At 51.2% G+C, this 18,540-nt stretch overlaps 1 protein-coding gene across 5 annotated transcripts in view, besides 4 other annotated features; it reads right to left on the bottom strand.

Moving 5' to 3' along the window:
- The window catches only part of FGD3 (FYVE, RhoGEF and PH domain containing 3), an 88,711-nt gene that overhangs the window by 54,931 nt on the left and 15,240 nt on the right, over window positions 1-18,540 (bottom strand). For 2 of the 5 annotated variants that reach the window (NM_033086.3, NM_001369952.1), the window contains exons 1-3: window positions 6,557-6,834; window positions 5,898-6,065; window positions 4,594-5,095 (exon numbers count right to left, since the gene is read on the bottom strand). In NM_033086.3, the coding sequence (NP_149077.2) occupies window positions 4,594-5,046 (453 nt within the window). In that variant the 5' untranslated portion in view covers window positions 5,047-5,095; window positions 5,898-6,065; window positions 6,557-6,834. Of the gene's footprint in view, window positions 1-4,593; window positions 5,096-5,897; window positions 6,066-6,556; window positions 6,835-16,949; window positions 17,297-18,540 lie in introns of those variants that run through there. The other 3 variants (NM_001369951.1, NM_001286993.2, NM_001083536.2) reach the window with 3 other exon arrangements.
- Window positions 10,407-11,098: an enhancer, noted in NCBI's record as "OCT4-NANOG-H3K27ac-H3K4me1 hESC enhancer chr9:95732487-95733178 (GRCh37/hg19 assembly coordinates)". NCBI's record gives its function as "activates a minimal SCP1, AML or CMV promoter by ChIP-STARR-seq in primed H9 embryonic stem cells {active_cell/tissue: H9 hESC(primed)}" and the evidence as "EXISTENCE:reporter gene assay evidence [ECO:0000049][PMID:30033119]".
- Window positions 15,533-16,164: an enhancer, noted in NCBI's record as "H3K4me1 hESC enhancer chr9:95727421-95728052 (GRCh37/hg19 assembly coordinates)". NCBI's record gives its function as "activates a minimal SCP1, AML or CMV promoter by ChIP-STARR-seq in primed H9 embryonic stem cells {active_cell/tissue: H9 hESC(primed)}" and the evidence as "EXISTENCE:reporter gene assay evidence [ECO:0000049][PMID:30033119]".
- Window positions 16,801-16,910: an enhancer, noted in NCBI's record as "active region_28608". NCBI's record gives its function as "activates an Ori minimal core promoter by ATAC-STARR-seq in GM12878 lymphoblastoid cells {active_cell/tissue: GM12878}" and the evidence as "EXISTENCE:reporter gene assay evidence [ECO:0000049][PMID:35858748]".
- Window positions 17,191-17,310: an enhancer, noted in NCBI's record as "active region_28607". NCBI's record gives its function as "activates an Ori minimal core promoter by ATAC-STARR-seq in GM12878 lymphoblastoid cells {active_cell/tissue: GM12878}" and the evidence as "EXISTENCE:reporter gene assay evidence [ECO:0000049][PMID:35858748]".

The raw sequence follows: 18,540 nt of genomic DNA, 5'->3' as shown, positions 1-18,540 counted from the left end.
TCCGCCTCCCAGGTTCATGCCATTCTCTTGCCTCAGCCTCCCGAGTAGCTGGGACTACAGGTGCCCACCACCACGCCTGGCTAATTTTTTGTATTTTTAATAGAGACAGGTTTTCACCATGTTAGCCAGGATGGTCTCGATCTCCTGACCTCATGATCCGACTGCCTCGGCCTCCCAAAGTGCTGGGATTACAGGCGTGAGCCACCATGCCTGGCCCAAACCATCTTTTTCAATCACAATGGAATGAAACTAGAATTCAATAACACAATGAAAATCCACAGACATGTGCAAATTAAACAACACATTTTTTTTCTTTTTTCTTTTTTTTTTTTGAGATGGAGTCTTGCTCTGTCGCCCAGCCTAGAGCACAGTGGCGGGATCTAGGCTCACTGCAACCTCCACTTCCCCAGTTCAAGCAATTCTCCTGCCTCAGCCTCCCGAGTAGCTGGGATTACAAGTGCCCACCACCACGCCTGGCTAATTTTTGTATTTTTAGTAGAGACAGGGTTTCACCATGTTGGTCAGGCTAGTCTCAAACTCCTGACTCAGGCAATCCACCTGCCTCAGCCTCCCAAAGTGCTGGAATTACAGGAGTGAGCCACCGCACCTGGCCTAAACAACACATTCTTAAACAACCAATGGATAAAAGAAAAAAATGAAATCATCATACTTATGGAATGCAGTAAAAGCAGTGCTAAGAGGGAATTTTACAGCTATAAATACGTACATTAAAAAAAAAAAATCTTGAATCAACAACCTAACTCTGCACATCAAGAAACTCAAAAGAGAAGAGTAAACTGAAACTGAAGCTAGCAGGAGGAAGGAAGTAATAAAGATCAGACCTATAGAGATATCTATATACATTAGGTATCTGCAATAGAGAATAGAAAGACAATAGGAAAACCAACAACATGAAAAGTTGGTTTTTTGAAAAGAGCAAAAAAATTGACAAACATTTAGCTAGGTTAACTAAGAAAAAAGGAGGCTGGGAATGGTGACTCACACCTGTAATCCCAGCACTTGGGAGGCCAAGGCAGGTGAGTCACTTGAGGCCAGGAATTTGAGATCACCCTGGCCAAAACGGTGAAACTTCATCTCTACTAGAAATACAAAAATTAGCTGGGCGTGGTGGCACACGCCTGTAGTCTCAGCTACTCGGGAGGCTGGGGCGGGAGAATTGCTTGAACCCAGGAGGTGGAGGTTGCAGTTAGCACCACTATACTCCACCTTGGGCAACAGAGTGAGTGAGACTCCATCTAAAAAAAAAAAAAATCTATTCTATTGTCTAAATGTATAGATTTTTTTCTAAATGTTGTGATTTTTAAATAGACTGCCTCAAAAAAAAAAAGAGAGAGAGAGAAGACTCAACTAAAATGAAAGAGGGGACATTACAAGAGGTGCCACAGAAATAAAAAGACTAAAAGAGAATACTATGAACAGTAATGGGTAAATTCCTAGAAACACACAACCTGGGAAGACTGAATCATGAAGAAATAGAAAATTTGAAAGAGCAATAATGAGTATGCAGATTGAATTAGTAATAAAGATCCTCCAAACAAACAAATGTCCAGGACCAGATGGCTTCACTGATGGATTCTATAAACATTTTAAAAAGAAATAAAACCAATCCTCCTGAAATTCTTCCAAAACAATTGAAGAGGAGGGCATACTTCCAGCTCATTCAATAAGGCCAGCATTATCCTGATACCAAGGCCATATAAAGACGATACAGGAAAATAAAACTACGGGCCAATATCCCTGATGACTATTGATGCAAAAGACCTCAACAAAATACTAGGAAATGAAATTCAACAGTACATTGAAAGGATTAATCACCATGACCAAGTTTATTCCTGGAATGCAACTCTGGTTCAACATAACAAAAATCAATTAATGTAATACACCACATTAACAGAATGAGGGACAAAAGCCACATGATCATCTCAATTGATGCAGAAAAAGCATTTGAAAGGATTCAACATCCTTTCATGATAAAAAACACTCAACAAACTAGGAACAGAATGAAACTACCTCAATATAATAAAGCTCATATATGAGAAGCCCACAGCTAACATCATATTCAATGGTGAAAGACTAAAACTTTTCCTCTAAGATTAGAAATAAGACAAGGATGCCCACTCTCACCACTTCTATTCAATATAGTATGGGAAGTCCTAGCCAGAGCAATTAGGAGAGAAAAAGGAAGAAAAGTCATCCAAATTGGAAAGGAAAAAGTAAAATTAGTTCTGTTCACAGATGACATGATTTTATACTAAAAAATCCTTAAGATTCCATTAAAAACTGTTAGGACTAACGAACCAGTTCAGTAAGGTTACAGAATACAAAATGAACACAAAAAAATCAGTTGGTGCTTGGCATGGTGGCTCACAGCTATAATCCTGACAACTTGGGAAGCCAAGGCAGGAGGATCACTTGAGGCCAGAAGTTTGAGATGAGCCTGGGCAATATAATGAGATTCTGTCTCAAGGAAAGGGAAGGGAAGGAGAGGGGAGGGGAGGGGAGGGGAGGGGAGGGGCAGAGAGGAGTGGAGGGGGGATGGGGGAGGGGAGGGGAGGGGGGTGGAGGAAGGCGAATGGGGGAAGGGAGGGGAGGGGAAGGAAGAGGGGGGAGGGGAGGGGAGGGTGCGTGTAACATGCAATTCATGTTCACCTTGGGGTGGAGCCTTAACATTTAAATGTATTACAGTCAGGCTCTGTATGCCAAAAGGTCTTTTCAGGACACAAATGCACGCAAGTGTGCAGCCTCTGCAAACTGGCCAGAGCCAGTCCATACAGAGTCAGTGATCTTCTCATTGAAAGAAAGTTAATCAGTCTCTTGTCCAATCAAAGCTGCAGTTATGGCTGGTGGAATGGGGGTGGGGTGGGGGGGTGGGCGGTGGGAGTGTCAGTCAGCATCTGGTGGAGCTATAGTTGTTTTAATATTGCTTATTGCTTGTTTAGCTGCTAAAGAAAAAGAATGTGGCTATTAGAATATAGTTTATTCTTTTTTTTTTTTTTTTTGAGATGGAGTTTCTTTCTTGCTGCCCAGGCTGGAGTGCAATGGTGTGATATCGGCTCACCGCAACCTCCGCCTCCTGGGTTCAAGTGATTCTCCTGCCTCAGCCTCCCAATTAGCTGGGATTACAGGCATGTGCCACCACACCCAGCTAATTTTGTATTTTTAGTAGAGACAGGTTTTCTCCGTGTTGGTCAGGCTGGTCTCAAACTCCCGACCTCAGGTGATCCACCCACCTCGGCCTCCCAAAGTGCTAGGATTATAGGCGTGAGCCACCGCGCCCAGCCAGAATATAGTTTATTCTTTAAGTGTATGGTGTGTACACTTGCCTGGTCCTGTTTATAATTTGGTATCTTATTGCCACAGAGTCTATTCTGTCAGTCTTCTGATCTCTATTTTAAGATTAATGCTGGTCAGTTGTGTGTAAACTACAAAAGTGAGGGAGTAGAATCAGGTGTGTCTGACCTCCCATTCCCATCATGGCTGGGAACTCAAGTTTCCCGCAGAAACCACATTACCGTCTCAGGCCCACAGTTCCCCCTCGAACCCTCTGCCTTCTGACTGACCCTGGGCTTCCCTGTGGCCTCACGGTGTGGTGTGACATGCCCCTTTCTCTTGGAAACTGAGGATGACAAACCATCTTGTCAATGGCAGTGGTCTGATCCTTCCTACACCTGAGTGATAATAAAGCCTCCATTGAACACAGCCCTGGCCTCGTCTCCGCCAAGCCAGCTCACAGTGGTCCAGGCACCGGACTGCCCTTCACCTGCCCAGCCCGTCTCCCGATGGTCCCCGTGTCAGCCAGCAACGTCCCCACCTAGGAGCCAGCAAGCCTGACCCGCAAAGCGCTCCCAGGACCTGGTCACTTGGCAACTTACCCAAGCTGTGCCCCCCATACCCACAGTTTCTCTGAGGCTGAGGCCATCTGCTGCCTCTCCATCTCCCCAAGATCCCAGCACCGAGCCAAGAGCCCCATAAACGCTAATGAGAACGCAAACAAACTCCCTCCATGCAGCCCCATCGTGTTGTGGGAACTGTCTGCTCTGGTCTCCACACTGCACTGCGGGCCTCACAGGTCCTGCCCCACCATGTCCTGAAGAGCACAGGGCACCCAGCCTGTGCCACACCCCATAGGTGACGCTGGCCAGGTACCATGCCCTCTGTGCCTCAGTTTCCCATTGAGGAAAACAGTTTCCCCACTCACATCGTCTCCTCCCAGGAGTTTCATAAAGTCAGCAGTGAGCACTGTGCAAAGGGCAGCTTTGGCAGCACCACCAGTAGGACTGACCATCATACCTTCCCAGGGTCGGGAGGTGCCCACTGTGCAGTTGTGGAAACTGAGACTCAGGACTGAGGTCACTGCTCAAGGTGTCAGGTGGGCTTGGCCTGGCCTGCATGGATTTTTCCCTCAGGCTTTTCTAGGGCAGACTGCATCCCAGGACCTCCCCTTGCACACAGCACGAGCCTGTGTGCCACATTCCTGGAAACAAGGTGTGGGATGACGCCCACTGAAAATCTCAAACCCCTCCTAAGGAAAGGCCTGCAGCCCGCAGCGGGGACAGAGAAGGGGAAGCCTACCTGGGCCAGGCCGGCATCCTTGTCAGCCTTCTGGGGGGTGTTCTCAGAGTCAGGTTCCTCACCCACGTCGCTGTCCGCCTCCTCCTGGGGGGTGACCTTCGGGACCTGGCTGTCCAGGGCCATCTCTGCGTGCGCCCCCAGTACAGTGGGGCTTGGGCCAGCCTCCAAGCCCTCCTCGCAGGGAAAGTTCTCTCCAGCCACACTGGAGGAGGGACTGTCGATCCCGCTGTCCCGGTTGGGGATCTTTAAGCTACCACTCAGCTCTCCCGTGGGGCCTATGTCTGGAGAGCCGTCCCCTGCTGCAGCCAGGCTGACAGGGTCCCCACAGTGGGCTCTGGGCCCAACAGGGAGCGCCTGAAGCTTCCCTAGGGAGGAACTGCCAGGCCCAGTGTCTGGCATCCCTAGGGCAGCAATGGGTCCTGGAGGGGTTGAGGACCCCCTGCCTGACTCCATCCTTAAAGCTGAGCTCACTGGGCTCAGGTGGAGGCTGGCCAGGGGCTTCCTGTAGGGGAGAAACAAGCCAGAGTCAGTGCTAGCCAGGCATGGACCAGCACCCTCAGGTGCAACCCCCAAATGCAGCTCCCAGGCAGTACCCTCCGCCCCCCACCGAAAGCCTGGAGCAGGTGGGCTGGGGGTTGTGTGTGAAGTGTGAATGCCCTGGTCAGCTTCAGCTGGGTCTTGTACAGACAGGCTTTTAAAGAACAGAAAATGGAAAATGTTTTGTTTTAAAATTGTTTGTTCCGCATAAAAAAAATTAACCCTGTGGTGTGAAGCTATCTGCTGTTCAATAAATTCAAAATAGATGCTCAAGGTAGTGACCATAACCAAAAGGAACACAGTGGCTTCTGTTTATAGCGCATCCGTGGTGCTTTTTCAATCCTCTGATACTCCCAGGACATGAGGCCGGTGTCCTCCTCCTCCTCCTCCTCACCACTGCCTGCTGGACAGGTCAGAAAACAGCCCCCAGGGGTCCAGGGTCCCAGCTGTCTCTACTATCTCCCTCAGGGGAGGGCTGGGGCAGGAGGTGCGTCTTGCCAGAGGATGTGGACCAAGGTCTTTGCCCCAAAACTCCTCCTCCCTCCTGTGCACTGGAGCCACCTCACACTGGCCCACCATGCCTCTCATGGACCAAATTCAAGTGTCAATTATAAGTGCACAGAAAATTCACCGGGCGCCTCTGAGGAGGAGCAAAGGTGAGACGGGCCTAGAGGGAGACTGTCATCCCTCAAAATCATCCTCTTGAACCGAAGACGCAGCTGCCGAGGAGCCTAGGGGCTGCAAGTGGCGGTCACTTATCCCCATACCTGATGCCACCAGCCTTTCTGAGGAGGATGCTGAGGGTCGGCGGGCACAGGCGCCTGGCTCCGTGCTGGGGTCTGGGGTTGGCCGGCAGGAGCTTGCACACGGTAGATGGTTTCCTTGAAAATCTCTTCCTTGCCCAGCAGGTTCAAAGTAGAGCCATTTAGGAGGTACTGAAAAGACATTAGTAGAGAAAGAAAACCACCTTCTCCAACTGGCATTTGGAGCAGCCAGAGGCCCCGGCTCTGCGGGGGTGCGGAGGAGGGAAGCTCCATGCCACCACCCAGCATGGTGGACTCCAGGATTGGGGCATGGCCATCTGCACAGTCATATCCTCAGCCCCCAGGCTGGCACACAATGCCTCCAAAAGGGTGGGGCCTGCACCAGCAGCCATGCACTGTAGGGTGGGCAGTGTCTTGCTCGGCTGGAAACTCTGGGGCCAGGGCTGAGCTTGTCCCTTGCCATGCAGCATCCTGCGGCCCAGGGGAAGGGTCATCTTGAACATGCAGGCACTGTCCAGTGTGAGGTGAGCCGGTGGGCATCGCCAGGCCCCTCCCTAGCCCACACCTCACACCCTCCCCCAGGCACATACAGAGAGGCTCTCTCAAACATTCACACTGACGGGCTGGCTCACACTCACAGTCACACACGCACTCACACTCACAATTAGATATTCCTCTGCCAGCAGCTTTACATGCTCCTGCCTCACTTGCTAAGCGAAATAAAGAAGAAGCAGGCTTCACACAGTGACAGGCACACAGTGAGCTGGCCCTGGCTGCCTTGAGCCTGCCCTGGTTGCCTTGAGCAGGCAGGTGTGCCTCTGGGCAGGGCGTGGCGCAGGCCTGGGCTCTGGCAGCGTCCTGGTGGCTGTGGATGCCGACCAGCTCTATGGTGGAGCACCCCCACCACACACAGTCTCCTGAGTGCTCACTGTCTTGGGGCAAAACCCCTTTTGAGTGGACGTTTCTTTAAATGACTCCAGAATCGCTCAGGTGGGCATTTATGATTGGCTACTGCCGCATTCCTAACGAGTTCAATGGGGGGCAATATTAAGATTTCTAAACAGAAAATACATGTTTTGCTGCATTCTTCTCATAGCACAAGAGATAAACTCAGGTTTCCAGAGGTCAAACATGGCAGAGCAATAAAAATACACCAGATGGAATGTGAGCTGTGCTCAGCCTCGGTGTGTTCAAAGGTAGCTGTCTGGCAAGACAGAGCCTGGTTCAACCCCATCTCGGGGGAATTATGCTTCTGGTCAGGATGGAGTAATAGAAACCAGATTTACTCTCACCTGGAACAACAACAAAAATGGACAAAACCTACGAAACAAGTTTGCAAGGCTCTACACCAAGCGGTAAAACACTGTGGTCCCTGAGAGACGGGAATGAATGAGGTGAGCCCTCCTATTGCCCCAGCTCACTGCCCAGAGACCATTTCTGGGCCATGGATCAGGGAAGGGAAGCCCTGTGGGGCCCAGTGGACTCTCTAAGTTGAGAAGACAAAACTGGGAGGCCCAGAAGACTAAGGTGGCCAGAGTCCACAGCATGGAGCCCTGAAGATGAGAGAGCTGCAGAGAGAGAGAGAACCCAGAGATCTCAGAGGGGCTCCTCGAGGACCGTTCAGCATGTGTGCGGTGGGGAGAGCACATGAGGCCAGAGAAAGAACCACCTGTGAGGACCACAGGGAGCTTTCACAGGGCAGGGACACGCCTATGCCCACCAGCCAGCCCTAAAAGCCCCACAGGTCACGGGGCATTGCGTTGAATACTCAGAGGGTCTTGCTTCAGGAATGATGGATAATTAGCCCTGCAGTGATCACTGCTCTGGTCCCACCTAGCAAATATTAACAAAACTTAACAGGAAGAAGTCCATATGTTTACCCAACTGCATCCTTGAACAAAGCTAAAAAATATTTATAGAACTACAAAAATATCTAGTGCATGGCAAGGTAAAATTCCCATAGTCTGGCATCCAATCAAAAATCACCAGGCAGAGGCCGGGCACAGTGGCTCACGCCTGTAATCCCAGCACTTTAGGAGGCCAAGGCAGATGGATCACTTGAGGGCAGGAGTTCGAGACCAGCCTGGCCAACATGGAGAAACCCTATCTCTACTAAAAATACAAAAATTAGCCAGGCATGGTGGTGCGTGCCTGTAATCCCAGCTGCTTAGGAGGCTGAGGCAGGAGAACTGCTTGAACTCAGGAGGCGGATGTTGCGGTGAGCTGAAATTGCACAACTGCACTCCAGCCTGGGCGACAGAGCAAAACTCTGTCTCAAAAAAAAAAAAAAAAAAAAAAAAAATTACCAGGCATAAAAGGGACTATAACTAATGAAGAGAAAAAATTCAATATAAACTGACCCATAACTAACACAGATGTTGGAATTAGCAAAAAGGGACATTAAAAACTACTATCATGTCTGTGTCATCCTATGTTCTAAAATCCAGTAGAGACGTGGAGAATGTAAGAAGGCCCACATTAAACTTCCAGAGATGAAAACTACGAAGTGTGAGACCAAAAACACACTGGAAGGAATTAACAACCAATTAGACATTGCAGAAGAAAAACTAGTGAATTTGAAGAGACAGGAACAGAAACTACCCAAAATGAAACACACACACACACACAGAGAAACTGAGCAACAGTGAAATGTGGGAAAACTTCAAGTAGTGTAATACATGTGTGATCAGAGTCTCAAAAAGGGGTGGACAAAAAAAATATTTGAGGAAATAATGACAAGTTTTCTAGATTTGATGGAAACTATAAATCTACACATCTAAGAAGCTCAATGTAAAACAAGCACAAGAAATCCTTGTAGTTAAAACTTTTCCCACATGGAGAACTTCAGGCACAGAGATCTTCACTGGTGAATTCTACAAACATTTCAGGAAAATAATGATGCTAATTCTATACCTACATCTAATGATCTTTCAGACCTTTTTTTTTTTTTTTTTTTGAGATGGAGTCTCGCTCTGTCACACAGACTGGAGTTCAGTGGCCACAATCTAGGTTCACTGCAACCTCCGCCTCCTGGGTTCAAGTGATTCTCCCACCTCAGCCTCCTGAGTAGCTGGGATTACAGGCACCCACCACCACGCCTGGCTAATTTTTGTATTTTTTTTAGTAGAGATGGGTTTTCACCATGTTGGCCAGACTGGTCTCGAACTCCTGACCTCAAGTGATCCTCCCACCTCAGCCTCCCAAAGTGCTGGGATTACAGGCATGAGCTACCACATCCAGCCAGATCTTTCAGACCATTTTTAAAAAGGGAATAGAATACAGATGAATCTAGAAATAATTATGCTGAACAAAAGGAGCCACAGAAGACCTACTGTGTTTTCTCATTACTACAGAATTCTAGGAAGTGCAAAGTAGCCTATGGTGCTAGGAAGCAGATCAGCTGGGTGCCTGGAAGGAATGGGAGGGGCTGTGGGGTTGGTGTGGGGGAGGGGGGTGGATGGGTGGAGGGGGCTGGGGAGGTGGGGAGTGCTTACAAAGGAGCACAAGAGCTTTGTGGGATGTTGCACACATATTCATTACCTTGATTGTGGTGATAATTTCATGAGCACACCCCATGTCAAAGTTTATCCAACTGTACACTTTAAACATTATGCATCAATGGTACGCCAAGTATACCTCACAGGGCTGATCAAGAAAAATCCCACCCTAGCCAGGTGTGGTGGTGGGCTCCTGTAATCCCAGCTACTCGAAAGGCTGAGGCAGGAGAAATGCTTGAACCCTGGAGGCGGAGGTTGCAGTGAGCAGAGATATCACCACTGCACTCCAGCCTAGGGGAAAGAGCCAGATTCTGTCTCAAAAAAAAAAAAAAAAAAAAAAAAAAAGAAAAGAAAAGAAAAGAAAAGAAAAATCCCACCCTTATCGCCTTTGAACTGTACAAACTTCGTGAGTTTCAGACATTCCTAAGCATCATTTTCCTTACCACAGAAGGGAGGATGGATCATGATGGATCATGAGGAGAGGTGAGGAGGTGTGTGGTTGCAGCCTAGGAGGCCCAAGCAGCCCGGGTCCCCAGACATCCTGTCCAGAGGAGAGGGATGCACTGTGCTCATCGGAGGCCCTCAAATCACTCCCATCTTGGAAGGGCTTTTGTCCAAGAGCAGATGAACCAAAACAAATGAAGGACACTCACCTCCAGCTTTGCGTTTGCAACTCTGTATTGCAAACACCTGTGTTATGGATCCTGTCGGTACCCCCCAATTCACACACTGAAGTCCTAGCCCCCAGTACCTCAAAATGAAGGCATGTTTGGAGACAGGGTCTTTACAAAGGCAATCAAATTAAAAGTGAGGTTTTTAGGGTGCCCTTGGTGGGGGCAACCTGGGTTGAGGAGCCCCTAATTGTCACTTCACTTCCTTCTATTCTGTTGCAAGGACTTTTTACAGAGTATGCGTTGTTTTAAAATAAAAAAGGTAATGAGAACAGAAAACAAAGAGAGCTGGATAGAGGGGCAGGAGAGGGATGAGCTACTTTGGGAAGTGTAGCCGGGCAGAGCCCCTCTGCGGCCAAAGGCTTTTGCCAGCAGCAACCCTCCTGGGCTGGTGTGGCCACTGCCTGGCCTTCAAGGCACAGGTGCATGCACACATGCATAAACAAACGCACATGTGCACATACATACACATGTGTGCACACGTATGCTGAAAAATAAAAAGGCCTGTGTCTGAGGAATGCCAGCCCCTTTATATAATCAGGCATTGAGAGGCACTGGAATGCAACACAGTCATGTGTCACTCCCCATCGAGCAAAATAGGTCCCTCCTGAAACCACTTGCTATGCAGGCTTGAGACTAACAGATGCCAAGTAGCCCTAAAATGCCACATTCCCTGTAGTTCAACAGTGGCTGGCCAATCACTAGCCAGTGTTATTTCTGTGAACCAATGAGAGTTCCTGATGAACAATGGTCACCACCCCCTCTCCTGATTCATCCTTTCTTTTCTTTAAACACTTGAGCCTCTCTTTTGTTCTCCAGACATTCCTTGAGGCAACTTGGAAGTGTCTCCCTGGCTGCAGTCCTCAACCTTGTGCTTGAATAAACTCTCTTTAGACTATATTCTGATTCTCTTGATTATTTTAGGTTGACAATGCATACACACATATAAGGCAAGTACACCCATGCACACCCATGCCCAGGGTCAGTGCTGAGCCCTTTCTCACATTCGCAGGGGACGTTTCTGTCCTTCATATGAGGACGCCGAGGCTCAGAGAGGCTGGCCCTGGGACACAGGTGCTGGAAGCCCCCGGGCTTGGGTCACTCTGGTCCGCCCAGGGCTATGCCTATGTTTCCACAGGGGCATTGAGGAAGCCGAGGTCAGTTCTCTGTATGCAGCCACCTCAGCTTTCCCTTTAAGAAGCCCTGAGCCGCCTGAGGTGAGCAAGGCTGGAGCTGCTGACCCAGATGAGCCGTGCCCACTGTGGACTCAGCCAGGGAACAGGTCCCAGACACTCAGGGCTGCCACCTTGTAGCACGAGGAAATCCACAAACCTGAAGAAATTTAGAATGCCCCAGAATCCAGGGTGTCCTAGAACTGTTCATGTGTCTCCATCACAGCAGCCAGTGAGCAGGGGGATGAAGTGCTCTGGCCCCCGCCCCGTGTCCCTCCACAGTGCAGCGGTCCCCCAGATAGGCAGGGCTGGTCCCACAGATGGGCCACCAGTCTGCCTACCACCCAGCTCTATCTGCCACCAGATGTCCCTTCCCGGGAGGCCGTGCGGGAGTCCCCCCCCATCTGAAAGAAACCCACCACGGCACCTGTCCACTGTGCTGCCTGGAACCTAGTAGGCAGGGACCTCCCTTGTCCTGTCGCTGGAGTGGCCCAGTGGCCCCCGGCACACAGGAGGCTCCATAACAATGGCATGTTATGTAGGGGGAGCAACAAACGCGTTAGTGGTGGTTTTTAAACTGCCCGTATATTCTTTGATGCCACTTCAATCTAAAAGCGGACTCTGACATCCCTCCCCTAAATACAGAGCCCCTAAGAGACTCGCTGTAACTAGAGAGGGCAGCATGTGGGAGGCCAGGTCAGGAGGGAAGACAGCTCTGGGCTCTCACACTTGGAAGCCAGCACCTCACTGTGAGGGAGGCTTAGCCACTCAGAGAGGCATGCGGGGGCATCCCCGCCGACAGCAGGTGGCAGCCAGGCCTGAAGCCTTTGGGGGAAGCCTTATGCAATGGGTCCCAGCCCTGTGGGCAAGAGCCGCCCGCTGCACCCGGGTGGCCCAGAATCATGAGGGATGATGACGACAAGATCTCCCTTGTGGGTTACCCTGTGATAGAGAATCCAGGCAATACTGTAAGTGCCTCTAGGTGATACAATAAACCATGTGAACTGCCTATATCCGCTGGTCCCCATATGGCTTCTCACTGGCTTAACTTTGGTGCCTTGAGGTCCCAAACCCACTGAGGCCACCCACAGTGAGCAAGGCCCAGGGCACCCTGGCCATGCCCAGATGTAATGCCCAATGGCAGTCAATTAAAGCCACCAGGCTGGGCGCAGTGGCTTACACCTGCAATCCCAGCACTTTGGGAGGCTAAGGCACTTTGGCAGACCTCCACCTGAGGTCAGGAGTTCGAGACCAGCCTGATGAATATGGTGAAACCCCATCTCTACTAAAAATACAAAAATTAGCCAGGCGTGATGGCTTGCATCTGTAGTCCCAGCTATTCTGGAGGCTGAGACAGGAGAATTGCTTGTACCCATGAGGCGGAGGTTGCAGTGAGGAGATCACACCACTGCACTCCAGCCTGGGCCACAGAGTGAGACTCCGTGTCAAAAAAAAAAAAAAGAAAGAAAGAAAAAAGAAAAGAAAACAAAAATTAAAGCCACCTTGTGACCTAGCGGTGCCTGGAAGCCCAGAGTAATTACCTTGGGGTCTCAGCCTGGGAAATGCCCTGTCTGCTGTGGGAGTGGATGGAGGAGGGGTCTCCATCATCTCTGCTGAGAACTCAGTGAGGTGCTACATGCTCCTGAATTGGGATGGGGGTCAGAGGGGCCTCGGAGAGGGCAGGAAGTGAGGGCAAGCTGAGCAGGGAGAAGAGGAGGCAGATCAACGCAGCACCTCCCCGTTTGTAGTCATGCCATGAGCAGACACTCACAAATATGGCTCACACCGCCACCTTAACAAGTTACTTCTACTGTTTAAGACTGTATGAGTCTTCATGACCCATAGCCCTGGCATGACGCTGTGACTGTGGACTGGGAGAAGAGGCTGGACAGCCTGGAATCGGGGGCTGGTGGGCGGGGGGTATCTACCTCTCCCAAGGATGCGGCAGCTTTTCTTAGGGCAGCCACATTTAAACCAACACCAGTTTCCCATGTGAGTCCATCTAGTCAAGAATGTTTCTCCCAAAAGGTTTGAAAGCAGGGTCTTAAACAGGTACTTGTACACCCACATACATAGCAGCATTCCCTACAACAGCCAAAGGGTGGAAGCCCCTCAAGTGTCCATCCCTAGAAACCTGGATAAAGAAAAGGTGGCCTCTCCATAGAACAGAATCATGTTCAGCCTTAAACAGAAGGAGGCCGGGCGCAGTGGCTCATGCCTGTAATCCCAGCATCTTGGGAGGCCGAGGCGGGCGGATCACGAGGTCAAGAGATTGAGACCAGCCTGGTCAACATGATGAAACCCTGTCTCTACTAAAAATACAAAAATTAGCTGGGCATGGTGGTGCATGCCTGTAGTCTCAGCTACTTGGGAGGCTGAGGCAGGAGAATAGCTTGAACCTGGAAGGCAGAGGTAGCAGTGAGCTGAGATCGCGCCACTGCACTCCAGCCTGGTGACAGAGTGAGACTCCATCTCATAAGTAAATAAATAAACCGGAAGGAAATTCTGACCCATGCCACAACAGGGGTGGACCCTGAGGACATTATGCTAAGTGAAATAAGCTAGTCACAAAGGGACAAATCCTGTGTGATTCCACCTACGTTAGGTCCTAGAGGAGTCAAATTCACAGAGACAGAAACCAGAATGGTGGCTGCCAGGGCCAGGGGAGGGAATGGAGAGGGTTTAACAGGGACAGAGTTTCAGATTGGGAAGGTGAAGACGCTCTGGAGATGGATGGCAGTGATGGTTGCACAGCAATATGAATGTGCTGAGGGCACTGTACTGATCACTTAAAAACGATGAAGGAGGCTGGGCACGGTGGCTCACGCCTGTAATTCCAGCACTTTGGGAGGCCAAGGCAGATGGATCACCTGAGGTCAGGAGTTCAAGACCAGCCTGACCAATATGGTAAAACCCCCTCTCTACTAAAAATACAAGAAATTAGCTGGGCTTGGTGGTGGGCGCCTGTAATCCCAGCTACTTGGGAGGCTGAAGCAGGAGAATCGCTTGAACCTGGGAGATGGAGGTTGCAGTGAACCGAGATGGCTCCATTGCACTCCAGCCTGGGAGACAGAGTGAGACTCCATCCCCCCCCAAAAAAAAAAAAAAGAAAAAAGATGAAAGTGCTATGTTTTAGGTTATGTGTATTTTACTGCCATTTTTAAAAAGAAAACTTTTTTTAAACATATGCAGAAGATTCTCATGAGAAGTTTTTTGAATTTGCACCAAAATGACAAGGTGCGAAGGGCAAGGCCCTGTACCAGGCCAGCCTCCTTGTCAACCTCCCTGCCCAGCTGGGGGTGTCCAGGGGAGGCGGGATCCTTAGTGTCCCTTTCTGAGGCTGCGGAGCTCAGCCCTCATTCACACACTCTTGCCCTCCTTCCTTGGTCCACATGCACAGCCACCGCTGCTCCTCAGAAGACTGGCACCCTGGGCAGAGGCCTCATACAGACTCCCAGGTGGGGTGGGCCCCGGGCAGGGCCCACAGGTGCAGCCTCCAGGCCTGAGTCTGCGGTGCCCCCACCTGGAGGGTGGGGCTGGGGGACAGCACACCTTGTGGCACAGAGCAGGGGGTCCTGGAGGGCTGAGATTATTGTTAGGGGTTCAATACTTGCTTTTGGGAAAATGCAGCAACCATTTGCCTGTGGGTTACTTTCCTGAGACCAGGGACACTCACCGGCAGGCAGCAAGCTCAGAAGGAGGGAGTGGGGAAGCTCACGTGTGGGGACGGAGGCACCACGGGCACAGGTTCGTGTCACTAGGCAGCAGGCAGCTTGTCCCCAGACCCAGATGTGGCTGCCCCCATTTCACACAGGGCCTGCCCTGCACTGTCCTTGCAGCTAGCCAGATGAAACCGTGGCAGGCTCATGTCCCTGTCTCCCTCCTCAGACAATGGGCCCCTTGTCACCTACAAGGACCCACAATATCTGCAGAGAAGAAGGCAGGACACGGGGAGAAATGTAAGGGATGAATGAAGGTCCTCATATCCTGTTTCCTTCCCGACCGGCTCAGCCCCGACAGCTGACGGTCGTCCCGCCTAGGGACAGGCAGGCACCACAGTGCCCGGCTCTGCTCTTCCTCCTGTCCTTGTTCATTGTTTTCGGCACATGCTTGCCTCCGAGCCTCCTTGTTCCACAAGCCCAGTCTCATCCTTGTCTAGGTTTCACACCTGCCCAGCACTGCCCTTACTGAGGGGCCTCAGTTTCCTTATCTGTAAACCAGGCTCCTGATAGACCTATCGGGGCAGGTGGGGAGGATGCTTTGGGAGCTCCCAGCACATGCACCAGTGACTCCCAGGTCACTCTTCTAGCCCAGGGACTAACCTGGGAGTCCTCAAGGGGCACAGGCCAGGAAGGTCAGGCCCATCCTCGGACAGTGGTGAGGCTTCTCAGGAAAAGGTCATTTCAGCTCTAACCTCTGTACAACACGGCTGCAGGCCTCTGTGTGCAGGGCACTCGGCCTCGTGTCATTCCAAGGGGTCTTGCACACTGCATGGTGCTGGTTTTTGTGTAGACGTGGACCTCCGCCCCCTGAGGAGTGGAACCGGGGCCTCCTCTGGCCTCCTGTAACAGCCCAGCTGGGGACAAACCACTTCCTCCCTTTCACACCCAGCTGGTCAGCCCCACCCGGCTCTGGGGCCACTGAGCAAGTTGTGAAGATTTGTACTGGGGCTCAGTCAGACACTTTGCAGGCTGGGGGGCCCAGGGCAAGTCAGCTGTGTGCCTTGGTTTCCTCCCCTGCAAGAATGGCTGACCAGCATCCGCCCTGGGTGTTGGCAAGCACCGATCTGAATGGCAGTGGCACCTGCTAAGCACGTCCAGCCCCGAACTACAGTGAGCCTGGCACGACTCAGTCACCACTTTACAGATGAGTGTGGCCATGCTGTGTGACCCGAACATGCCTCTGCCCCTCGGGCCCCCTCTGCACAGTGGGCACAATCACGGTGGCATCGGGTTGTGCCGCCACTGCCGCTGGGACCCTGCCATCAGTCCATGCACCTCTTGAGGTGGCCCCGCCACTGTCCCACACTGCCAGGCACAGCACGGGGTGCTGAGGAGGCTTTGGTGGGCGCAGCACTCCTTCCTCACAGCCCCATGCTACACAGGCCCGCATCTGCTAATATCTAACCTGCAGAGTGCAGAGGAAGCTTCTGGAGACACACTGTGTGGGAAAGCCTAGCCCCCAGGACACGTCTGGGACCACCCTCCTCTGTTCAGGCAGAGGAAGGCTCGCGCTACCCCCCGCCCCCCAGGCCTGGGTGACATGAGAGGGGCTGGCCGTGGTCTCGATGCCCTGGCTGGTGCGCTGCCAGCCGATGGAAAAAGGCTCCCTGCATCTGGTCAGCCTCGGACCCAGGCCCCTGCCAGCCTTCGATGGGGACACGGGCAGGCACCGTTCATCTTGTGAGAGCCTAAGCCACCCCCAGACGATAGGCAACACTGTCCCAGCACTCAGCAGTTTACAAAGGCTTTTCACACTTGCCATTCGAGGCCCACAATAACTCTGAATTTTTACACATCATGCTACAGGAACCCAGAGAAAGACAACAGAACAAAAACAAGACACCATTCCGTGCCACCACAGCCACTTCCTGCCTTGAAAACATCCGTCTCCCTCAAATGGCTCCTGCCCTGAATGTTCCTACCACCCCAAAGTTCCACAAAAGCAGTTAGGATCTCAGGGCTCGGCCAACACCTCAGGACCAAGCCCACTCACCTGTCTTCTGAAGGCGAGCGAGTTTCTCCTCTGGGCTGAACTTCGTGCAATAGCGAAACACAACTTCCTTTTTTCTAATTTTCGCAATATGGGTCACAACATGATGGTGCATTTGCATTTCCGCATCATTACGCTGGGTGAGAGGAGCTTGGCTTGCTGATTCTAGAAGGTGCAACTTGCAGGGTGGCGGGGGCAATGGCAAACAAACATGCAATCCACAGCTCTCCACTGATCAGGTGCTAGGCTCACAGCTGCGGCGGCCGTGCTGGTTTAAAGGTTAACAGGGCTGCTCACAGAGGACCCACAACCACCATCCTCCTGCTTCTGCTGGGTGGACTTTTGTGAGTAGATCTGCTGTGTAGATCTTCAGGGAGGAGGGGCCCAGCAGGGAATGAGGGGGCCGGCCCTAGACCAGACAAGCCCAGAGTGAGCCCAGAAACACACCATCAGAGGCTTCCTCAGACCCTCTTGGTTGGGAACAATGAAATGGCCACAAGTTAGAAGGTGAAGAGGCCCCCTGCAAACAGATATTTCAAGATGCTTCCTGGGAGACCTGACCCACGAGGGCTGCTCCAGCAGGCCCAGCACCTGCCCCGCTGAGCAGCCCCACCAGGAGGGCACCCTCATTGTTTTAGGGAGAGAATCAATAAATAATAACACCAGGTCCTGAAGGGCTTAGAGTGCAAAGTCTGACTCAATTTTAATAATGCTTGTTAATCCAGGCTTATATTCATTTTTTTTAAAGCAATTTCTCACCTGGGCATGGTGGCTCATGCCTGAAATCCCAGCACTTTGGGAGGCCAAGGAGGGAGGATCACTTGAGGTCAGGAGTTTGAGACCAGTCTGGCCAACTTGGTGAAACCCTGTCTCTACTAAAAATACAAAAATCAGCTGGGCATTGTGACGCATGCTTGTAATCCCAGCTACTAAGGAGGCTGAGGTGGGAGGACCGCTCGAACCCCAGAGGTGGAGGTTGCAGTGAACTGAGATTGCGCCACTGCACTCCAGCCTGGGGGACAGAAAGAGACTGTCTCAATAAAAATAAAATAATAAATAAATAAATAAAAGCAATTTCTCTGGGCCTCAGTTTCCCTGTGCCAGGTGCTGCCGCAGGTGCCCTGTGAATGGTTACTCATTGGGCCCCTTCATGCCCCTGTGAAGTATGGTTATCCCCGTCTGACAACAGGGAAACTGAGGCTCAGGACACAGTGGTGTGCCCCTCCCTCCCAAAAGCTAAAGGCTGAGGTGATGTGGAGTTTGTCCCTAAGTTCCCTGCCTGTGTGAGGATGCAGAGCTACACCCAGCCGTGACAAGGATGGGGTGGACAGTGTCACCTGAGCTCGGACGCATGGGTGCTGTGGCCTCAGCCATATTGCTGAACTTAATCTTTTCTTTTCTTTTTTTTTTTTTTTTTGAGACGGAGCCTCACTCTGTTGCCCAGGCTGGAGTGCAGTGGCGCAAAGTCAGCTCACTTCAACCTCCACCTTCTGGTTTCAAAGATTCTCCTGCCTCATCCTTCCAAGTAGCTGGGATTATAGGTGCCCACCACAATGCCCAGCTAATTTTTTGTATTTTTAATAGAGACTGGGTT

This window comes from Homo sapiens, chromosome 9, assembly GCF_000001405.40.
Source record: "Homo sapiens chromosome 9, GRCh38.p14 Primary Assembly".
NCBI classification, from domain to species: Eukaryota; Metazoa; Chordata; class Mammalia; order Primates; family Hominidae; genus Homo; species Homo sapiens.
Note: the sequence above shows the minus strand (reverse complement) of the source record. Positions and strands in the feature narration are given on the sequence as shown.